The sequence below is a fragment of the Homo sapiens genome, chromosome 2 (assembly GCF_000001405.40).
Source record: "Homo sapiens chromosome 2, GRCh38.p14 Primary Assembly".
NCBI lineage: Eukaryota > Metazoa > Chordata > Mammalia > Primates > Hominidae > Homo > Homo sapiens.
The window spans coordinates 154,424,430-154,435,560 of record NC_000002.12 but is presented as its reverse complement, the minus strand read 5'-3'; the positions used below and the strand labels follow the sequence as shown (position 1 = coordinate 154,435,560).

At 37.1% G+C, this 11,131-nt stretch overlaps 1 protein-coding gene across 19 annotated transcripts in view; it reads right to left on the bottom strand.

The window, feature by feature from the left end:
* GALNT13 (polypeptide N-acetylgalactosaminyltransferase 13) overlaps nt 1-11,131 on the bottom strand; it is a 1,388,282-nt gene that overhangs the window by 21,014 nt on the left and 1,356,137 nt on the right. The gene's annotated exons all lie outside the window — the stretch shown is intronic.

Sequence of the window (11,131 nt, the reverse complement as noted above, 5' to 3'; positions counted from 1 at the left end):
TTATGACCCTCTAGATTAACTACTTATGAGTTCCTTTATGACTTTGGGGACAATCTCCAAATCTCATGCTGTATTTCCTAGGAAGCAGCTATTCCCTATAGCTGTTGCTTGTTTTTCCATCTCACTACTCCACAGACACTCTCAGTTAGTATGTGTAAGGCCCAGCCTGTCCTTGCTGTGGTTGAAACCTTTATGCCTGACTATGTGAGTTAAAATATTTCTAACCTGCACACCAATGAAGCACTTTACCTTAAACTATCACATATACTGATAACTACACGATACAAGATTGATTCATTCATTAATAAAATCTCATTGTACATTCTCTTAAAATAATGGAAACTATTCTTCTTCCTTTTCTAATTATCTCTCAAATTGCTTTATCATCGGTTACCAATAGTTAGTAAAGCAGAACTGTGTTACATGAACCATAGATTTAGCATATGTTTCCATTTGTTCCAGTGGCAGCCTGACTTTAATGACAATTAATTGGTTCAAAGTCTAATCACTTTGATTAAGCTGACTAGAAGCAGGGAAAAACAATCAATTTCTGTGCCTTTCCTTCCATTATAAAAGAGGAAACAGGGAGAAAGTTAACATTAATTGAACACTACCTTTTTTAAAAAATGTGTTCTATGCTTCGTATATATTACATTAAATAAATTTGCTCTATTCTTCTATTGTGCAATTACATTTATATTTCTATGAATGTATACCAACTTACAGTACTGCAAAATGTAACATGTAGAGCTCTTTGTATGAATCCTATGGATTTAGTAATTTATAGTGTTTTTAAAATTCTGTTTCACACTTAATGTTCATGTTGTCTCAACTGTAAAATTATGAGCTATCTAGTATCACATATATTCTCATGTAGTCCTTCAGTCAAGCTAGGTCTACAAACAACCACTAAAATGGCCATTTTTGAGTCAACTCTTTTAATCTCAGCTATCTTATAAGACGGTGATAATGATACAGGTGATGATGTCTATGCTCCATTTTATGGACCTTGTTGATTATTATGCCTTAATCCCAGCAGTTTGGGAGGCCCAGGCGCATGGATCACGAGGTCAGGAGATTGAGACCATCCTGGCTAACACGGTGAAACCCCGTCTCTACTAAAAATACAAAAAATTAGCAGGGTGTGGTGGTGGGCGCCTGTAGTTCCAGCTACTCTGGAGGCTGAGGCAGGAGAATGGCGTGAGCCCGGGAGGCGGAATTTGCAGTGAGCGGAGATCACACCACTGCACTCCAGCCTGGGCTACAGAGCGAGACTCCTCTAAAAAAAACAAACAAACCAACAAACTAATCACTGTAATAACTCAGTTTTTATTGTTTACTGTTGTATTAGTTCACTAGGGCTGTCATAACAAAGTACTATGGACTGGGTGGCCTAAGCAACAGAAATTTATTTCCTGACAGGTTTGGAGGCTGGAAGTCCAAGATCAAGATCTTAGTAGAGTTGGTTTCTGCTGAGGCCACTCTCTTTGGCTTGTAAGAGGGATCTTCTCCATGTGTCTTCACACGGTCTTCCTTCTCTGTTTGCATGTGTCCTAATCTCCTCTTTTTATAAAAACACCAGTTACATTAGATTAGGGCACCCTAATGATGCCAAAATTCTTTAAAGACTCATCTCTAATATGGTTACATTCTAAGGAACTGGGGGTTAAGACTTCAACATATGAATTTCTAGAAGAGCACAATTCAGGCCACAACACCACTAACCCTTTACAATGTATTGGAGTAGATAACATATCTTTCCTTATTCCTAAATGAAAAACATGGTGTACATGAATTTTTTTTTTTTTTTGGCTAACCTGTTTAGATCACCTTGGGATTCAATTCAGAAATTAGAATATACTGTTTAGTAGTACTAATCAAAACTCTAAATGTAATGTAATATCAAATAATTCCCCCTTCTTCACATTGGGCCTAATTTATGTTGGCAGCCTGCAGAGGCAAAGGCTTTTTCTGTTTTACGACTTAAGCTTTTTTTTTATTCCTCACTGTTCCTACCCACTCCTAAATTCACCCAGTCTGCTAATCAATTTATTTTTTATTTTTTATTTTTTTATTCTTCCAGAGTGGCAAAGCTGTAAGAGAGGTCTTACTTGAACTGGTTTGTATAACTCCTTCCTGTTCTCTGGCCTGCCAGAGATTTAAAGCTCCCTGTCCTGAGACCATTTGGATTTTCTTAGAGATTCCCATCTCTGAGCACCTCTTAACTGAAGTGCAAAGAGAGAGGACAATGCATATTTTATAAGTGAGCCACTTTTTGTGAAAACTCTGGGAGGCAGGCTAACCTTAGGCAGTGCAGTCAGCTCCCTGTATTCAGTTGTCACAAGCCAGCCTTATCATGTGTGAGTCAGGCCACAGCCTGCCATATTCTCAAGTACCAGAAGCATATACCAAGCTCTCCAACTGGCATCCTGCATAATTTGCAGGTCCCAGTGCAAAATGAAAATGCAGAACTTATTTTTATAAAATTACCAAGAATTCCAAGATTGTAGGGATCTGTGTGATTGCATGGGTTGCAAGCTCAAGAACTTCCTGGCCTTGAATCCTCCTCTTACTGGAAGCTAGAATCCCAGCCCATCTCCTCTAGAGGGAGGGCAACTAATCTCTCCAGGCAAAATCTTGTAATCTTCTTCATATTCTGATACTTTCCATTATGGGTTGAACTGTGGCTCCCCAGATGATATATTGAAGTACTAACCACCAGTACCAAAAAATGTGCACACTTATGGAGATAGTCCTCATGATGAAGTCATACTGGAGTAAGATGGGCCCTTAATCTAAAAGGACTGGCGTCCTTATAAGAGAATAGAGACAGAGAAAAGACAGCCATGTGATGATGGAAGTAGAGACTGGAATGATGCATCTACAAGCCATGGGACACCAAGGATTGTTGGCAAACACCGGAAGCTAGAAGAGGAAAAAGATGATTCTCCCTTAGGTTTCAGAGGGAGTATGGCACTTCTGACACCTTGATTTCAGACTTCTAGCCTCCAGAACTATAAGACAATAAATTTCTATTAAGCAATTTACTAGGTTTCTATTAAGCAACCTAGTTTGCAGTAATTTGATACAACAGCTCCAGCAAACCAACATACCTCCTTTTCCTCCTCATGCTGGTTGAAGTGTCTAAAGTCACGAAATCAGATTTCCAAAGTGTCTTTGCAAATTTTGCACAGGAAAATCTGATTTTAGATTGTCATTGCAAATTTTGCATAGGGAAATCTGATTTTACATTTCACATTTATTGTATCTTGGTATCTGGGCTGAAATTTTAACATCCAGTTATACTTTCCAATAGTATAAAATCAACCATTTTCAAAATACTTTTATATTATAGCTGTATCTTCATAAAGGTGTTTTATAATGTGACTAGGTGATTTCCTGATTTTATGTATACTTTATTGAAGTCGTAATGATTTCTGCTTCTGAATTTATATTGTAATCAAATGAGTACTATCTATAATGGATGATACTACATATAAAGCCAATTCAAATCTCAATTCCTTTTAATCTCTGTATTTTTCTTTTCATAGATGATGTTTTAGTCCGTTCTCACACTGCTATAAGGACATACCTAAGACTGGGTAATTTATAAAGGAAAGAGGTTTAATGGACTCACAGTTCCACATAGCTGGGGAGGCTCACAATTGTGGTGGAAGGTGAAGGAGGAGCAAAGGCACATCCCACATGGTGGCAGGCAAGAGAGCGTGTGCAGGGAAACTGCCCTTTATAAAACCATCAGCTCTCGTGAGACTTATTCACTATCATGAGAACAACATGGGAAAAACCTGCCCCCATGATTCAATTATCTCCCACCAGGTCCCTCTCATGACACGTGGGGATTATGGGAGCTACAATTCAAGATGAGATTTTGGTGGAGACACAGCCAAATCATATCAGATGGTAAGCATTCTTTCTTTTTCACGTACATGTATGGTTTGTTCTGGATTTTTCTTTTTAGGGAGAATGTCCAAAGACATTTTACAATTCTTCAAATACCTAAAACATCTAAATAATTTCAAGGACTTCTGTGAGAAGGATCTAAAATATTCTGTTAAATTAATTTTATATAATGAAAGACTAGGTGTCCACATTTTTTTTCCCAGTTGTATTATGTTTAAAATCCTAATATATGTATAGTTACTTCTTTTAAAATACTCTTTTTTCATGACCCTTTAGAAAAACTACAAACAAACGTTTTCTCAAATCTCTAGCATGAGCCTGTGCTAATGAAACCTTGTTCCAGCAGTACACGTTACAAAGTAAGAAAGCAAAGGCATTGCTGTATTATTGGGACCTGAATCTTGTCTCTTTCTGCAAAGATCTCAGGAATTAAATGCCCTTTACTTGCTTTATCTTGCCACAGGGTTTCTTTCTTTCCTTTTTTTAATCCATAGATGAAGAGGGGTGTGAGTGTGTATGTATGTACATGCATATACACAGGCAAACTTCAGAGATACTGTGGGTTCAGTTTCAGATCACTATAATAAAACAAGTATCGCATTTAAAGCAAGGCACATGAATTTTTTTGTTCCCCTGTGCATAGGAGTTATGTTTACACCATACTGTAGCCATATTAAGCGTGCAGTAGCATTGTGTCTCAAAAAACAATGTATATTCCTTAATTAAAAATATTTTATCGTTAAAAATGCTAACAATTATCCTAGCCTTCGGTGAGTGGTAATATTTCTGCTGATGGAGGGTCTTGCCTCAATGCTGATGGCTGCAGACTGACCAGAGTGGTGACTGATGAAAGTTAGGTGGATGTAGTAATTTTAAAAAATAAGACAACAATGAAGTTTATCACATCAATCAACTTTTCCTTTCACTAAAGATTTTTCTGTAGCATGTGATGTTTGATAGCATTTTACTCATGGTAGAACTTCTTTCAAAATTTGAATTAATCCTCTCAAAACCTGACACTGCTTTATCGACTTGAGTTTATGTAATATTCTAAATACTTTGTTGTCATTTCAACAGTGTTCACAGCATCTTCAATAGGAGTAGACACCATCTCAAGAAACCACTTTTCTTGATCATTGATAAGAAGCAATGCTCATTCATTAAAGTTTTAGCTTGAGAGTGCAGAAATTCAATGACGTCTTCGGGCTCCACTCCTAATTCTAGTTCTCCTGCTATTTCCACCTTATCTGAAATTATTTCCTCCACTGATGTCTTGAACCCCTCAAAGTCATCTAAGAGGGTTGGGATTAACTTTTCCCAAACTCCTGATATTGTTGATATTTTGACCTCCTCCCATGAATCACAAATGTTATTTACGGTATCTAGAATTGTGAATACTTTCCATAAAGTTTTCAATTTACTTTGCCCAGATCTATTACAGGAATCACTATGGCAGTGAGAACTTTAGAAGACGTATTTCTTAAATAGTAAGACTTGAAAATTGAACTTGCTCCTTGATCTATGGTCTGCAGAATGAATATTGTGTTAGCAGACATGAAAACATTAATCTCCTTGTACATCTCCAACAGAGCTCTTGGGTGACTGAGTAAATTATCAATGAGGAGTAATATTTTAAAAGGAATCTTTTTTTCCTCAGAAATAGGTCACAACAGTGGGCTTAAAATATTTAGTACACCATGTTGCAAACAGATGTGCTATAATCCAGGCCTTGTTGTTCCATTTACAGAGCACAGGCAGAGTAGATTCAGCATAATTGTTAAGGGCCCTAGGATTTGGGGAATGGTAAATAAATGAACATTGCTTTTGACTTAAAGTCACTCGCTATATTTTTCCTAACAAGAGAATCAGCCTGTCTTTTGAAGCTTTGAAGCTAGGCAATGACTTCGCTTTTCTAGCTATGGAAGTCCCAGATGGCATCTTCTTCCAATTGGGTGCTGTTTTATCTACATTGAAAATCTGTTGTTTACTGTATTCACATTTATCAATGATCTTAGCTGGATCTTCTGGATAACTTGCTGCAGCTTCTCCCTCAGCACTTGCTACTTCACCTTGCCCTTTTATGTTATCTTTCTTTCCTTAAAACTCATAAATCAACTTCTGCTAGCTTCAAATTTTCTTCTGCAGCTTTCTCACCCATCATAGAATTAGAGTTAGGGCCCTGCTGTGGAAGAAGTTTTGGTGTAAAGGCATTTCATAGCTTGTTTGATCTTCTATTCAAACCACTAAAACTGTCTCTATATACGGAATAAGGCTGTTTGCTCTCTTTTCATTTATGTGTTTACTAGAGTAACACTTTCAATTTCCTTCAAGAATTTTTCCTTTCCCTTCACTATTTTTCCAGCTGTTTGGTGCAAGATGCCTACTTTTTGGCCTGTGTCGGCTCTTGACATACCTTCCTCACTAAGCTTAATCTTTTATAGCTTTTGATTTAAAGTGAGAAACATGTGACTTTCCTTTCACTTGAACACACAGATGCCATTGTAGGGTTATTAACTGGCCTAACTTCAATATTGTTGTGTTTCAGGAACAGGAAGCCCTGTGGAGCGAGAGATAGGGAATGGCCAGTCTGTGGAGCGAGAGATAGGGAATGGCCAGTCTGTGGAGCAGTCAGAATACACACAACATTCATCAGTTAAGTTCACTGTTGTTATATAGGTACAGTTTGCAGCACCACAAAACAATTAACAATAGTTAGTGGTGGCAGGCGCCCGTGGGAGGCTGAGGCAGGAGAATGGCATGAACCCGGGAGGCGGAGCTTGCAGTGAGCAGAGATCGCGCCACTGCACTCCAGCCTGGGCGACAGAGCGAGACTCCATCTCAAATAAAAAAAAAAAAAAAAAATCACTGATCATAGATCATCACAACAGATAAAATAATGATGAAAAAGTTTAACATATTGGGAGAATTACCAAAGTTTGACACAAAGACATAAAGTGGGCACATGCTGTTGGAAAAATGAAGCCAATAGACATGCTCCATGTAGGGTTGTCACAAACATTCAATTTGTTAAAAAGTGCAATATCCGTGAAGCACAATAAAGCAAAGAGTAATAAAACAATGTATGCCTAGATACATATACATGTATTCATTTTTGTTTTATTTTTATTAAGGTATAGTTTACAAATGAATATATATTTGAATTCAAAATGTCTACATGTATATTTGGTGCAGCTCTATCATATAGGTTTTGATTTCCCTACATTTAAATTATAAAATACTTTTCTTGTGCGAGTTCATCAGGACAATATTTACTATAAAAGTTCACAGTTTGATATATATCGAATTTTGCCAACTGCTTCGCTAAGTGAAACTGAAGCCAAAGAAGTTACAGGATTCCCAATATGTCCGAGCTGCTTAGTGACGGAGGTCTCTCTGAACCTGAAGCTCTGCTATTTGCCACTATTTGTCCACGGGCTTAAACTTCTCTTTACACACCCATTATTTAGTCATTGTGGACCTTTGCATCCTCTGGGAGATCTCTTTAGGTATTTGGAACGCAGTCAATTCGAAAAGTGTGTCAACAAAAATCCAGAAATAAAACTTGTAAGAAAATAAACTTGTCATAATGATTTTCTCCCTCATCTGTAAAAATAACCCAAGAAAATTTGTATTGAAATCAAAGAGATAACTGTTTAGCAACAAAAATTATACCTTTAGCAATGTGAATTATTTTTTAAAATATTATCTTCCTCCATATTCACACCATCCTGAAGTCAGCATGGAGAATTCATAGATGGTATTGAAGTCACCAGTGGAGCTGCCAAGTTTATTCCCAGACAGTACCTTTTCCTATGCCTGAATTGATTTCAGGTTTCATCTATAGGCTGTTAGCTCAGCGGTTTGTTCAGAGGAGGGTCAGGAGGAGTAAGTAGCATCTAGCTGTACACTCTTAACTTACTCTTACACATCTACATGATATCACTTATTTTTTACAGCTTTAATGCTCTAAAATTCTACAACTAAAAACAGGATGTGGGTATGCATCTTATGTTCAGTATTCTCATCCTGTCCTCAACATCATCTGTAAAGCATTCACTCTTTCTGCTTTCACCTCAATATAACAATATATAACAATGTGATGCTTAATTTGCACTCAGCAAGCCAGCTTATTCTTCCATCCCTGACCTCGTATGTGCTGATCACATCACTAGGACTATCCTTCCCACTCCGCTTTGCCAAGCAAAAGGCTAATCTCCTTAAAGTCTTCATACATTCTTCAGTTTTTTCATTTAGCACTCTCTTACCATTTTTACCCAGATAGCTTATCTGCCATTGTACCGCAGGTAGGTATCATATCTGTATATATTTGGAATTGGACAATACTGCAACAATGGGCTCTAGAAGATTACACAAACCTAAGCTTGAGAGGTATCACTCAGGACCAGGGTTACTGGGAGTCTTTGTCAAAATGTTGGATTCCTCATCTGAGAAAAAGGATAAATATATGGCTCCTCTTTCATAGGCTATTTTACAGACTGAATAAGCCAAATTCATGTAAGCTCTAAACAAAGCATTTGCCTCAAGTAATATCTAAATATTAGTGATTATCTGTGCAATATTCATGCATAAAATCTACATTTGATTATATTCTATCTCATCTTTTCCTATTGGTTTTTATATTCTTTTAAAAAAATCTTGTGGACTCAATAACAATGCTAAGGATATATTTTGAATCCCTATGGAAACTGTTCTAGTAGGAGAGTAGTGTCCAACAATTATGAATTGAATTGAAATGAAAATAATTTGTCTTTGAAATTCCCTAGTCTTTATGGGAAACAGAGCAACAGTGCAAGATAATACAATAAGCCACATGCAGTAATATAATAACAAAATGTGACTGACATTTCTATTCTACTTCATTGTTAAATCTTCCCATTTTAAACATTACCAATGTTAAATTTTATGTAATTTTAATACTTGACTCTGCCCTGAAGGGTTTTAAAGGAAGTCTACAATTTGGGAAATCTAATTTATAAACATGCTCCAGATGCTTATATTTTACTATTGCAGTATTGAAGAATATAAATTGCAAATTTAAGCTCAGTTGGGAATCCCTTCCAAAATATATCCCACGAGTTATGCTTGAATGTACACATATTGCTTTTTATGTGACTGATGTACAATTTGCAGATGACCGAAGGTTTCTATCCCCTGGTATACATGCCCTGTATAACCTCCTTCCCTTAAGTGCAAGACAGACTGTGACCATGACAGGACAGTCATTTCAAGATCACATTACATTATATTACAAAGATATTAGATACAACCTTGGGTTAGCACTGAAGAGAGGGACTCTCCTGCTGGCCTGAAGATGAAAACTGCCATGATTTGGAGAGAGCTACATGGCACATAACGGAGGGCAGCCTCTAGCTGCTGGCAGAGCGCAACCCTGGCAGAGAGCCAGACAACAAAGAAAGATAGGAAGTCAGTCTTACAGCTGCAAGGAACTGAACTTTGCCAGGAACCAGGGAGGTTGGAAGAGGAATCCCCTGAGGCTGAGTTGAGATCACAGCTCTGGCCAACACCTATATTTCAGCTGTGTGAGACCCTGAGCAGAGAACCCAGCCACATTGTGCCTGAATTCCTCTTACAAACTGTGAAATAATAATTTTGTGTTGTTTTAAGCCACTAAATTTGTAGTAATTTGTTATGAAACAATAGAAAACTAATACGGGACCATCAGGAAAAAGGAAACATGCAAAAACTAGAATTGTTCTCACCATGTGAGACATCATCTCCCATGACCCATCTCTATCATTCTATTTCTCAGCTATTCAATCATCTATTTATTCAACATACTTTTCTGTGTGTTTAATCTGTCTTGTTTATCCAAATTACACATCACCTTCATGAACTGCTGAATTCAATACACATACATCTAACCGAGTGTTATCATTTCTGTAAGAATTTCTCCCACTATTCCAACCTCATTTGAACTCTCTTCTTTTTGTAATGGTCTTCTGGCAACTTATCTTTCTATTGATGGTATATTCGCCTATGTTTTCTCAACTGGATCATTCCTTAAGTATTTATTCTGTGAAGAACTGGCTTTTGAACATATATTTCAAGGCAAGAACACTGACTCCTAAATGAGATATTCTTCTTTAGCAATGGGCAACATACATGCATACATAGTTTCCCTTTATGCCAGTCTCATTAGTTGGTACCATTATGCAGCAAGATACCTGATCTTTGAGGTTCTTACTGATCTAAGCATGTAAATGTAAAACAGACATAACAACAATAAATATATCATTCACATGACACCTAGATAAACTATTGTATTTTAGTGTTTGTTTCAATAGCTGAAAAATAATGATAAAAGACTTTTTGCTATCCCATCTGAATGTCTTTTACAGGTGTTTTTGTAACATTTCATACAATTTTAAAAGTTTTCACTTGTATCTTTAGACACTTCCTAAAACTCTGGTATATACTATACCAGATATATTCAGGCATGTAATTAGATAAAATTGTTACATATATAAAGATTCTGAAAAGCCAAATTATAATATCCTAAATGGCACAATGATATACTTATGTATTGTTTACAACTCTCTATCTGTAAAGGGAGAGTACTCTTCACCGGACACAATATTCAAAATTTACCTTGGAATTATTACCACAATGCTTGCATTGGGTGCAAATAATACCAAAGTTTTCTAGATGGCTTCAAGTTTAAAGAAATCTTATTTACTTATAGCATCTGTCAGTATTGCTGCAAACTAAGAGCAGGGTCTATTTAGTTTGGGTTCCCCCAAAGGCAGACACTGAGACAGTAATTCAAGTGCAAGTCGTTCGTTAGGAATATGATCTCAGAAAAGACAAGTATGGTGGTAGGGAAGAGAAAAAGGCTAATACATGGTAAATTATCTAATTAGTTACACTGTGGATAACTAGAGCTTAATTCTGTTGGGGATCCCTGGCAACCAGTGTAGAATAAGCACGTCGGAGTCAGTCCCTCAAAGAGTGACAGGGCTGAGATATTTATACATCATCTGCCCTCAGCTTTTGCTTGAGGTGAGCTTCCAGGGAGCAGAATTTAATGTGACTGATGGGCAAAGCAGCCTCTTTTGGTTAAAAGACCCCCAGAGGGTCAGAGGTGCTAGCCTTTTGATGTTGGGCTGGAAGCAAGGGGAGAAACAACATTTTGGGAGCAACTGTTGTGTGTTACGAAAGACAGTGGTCA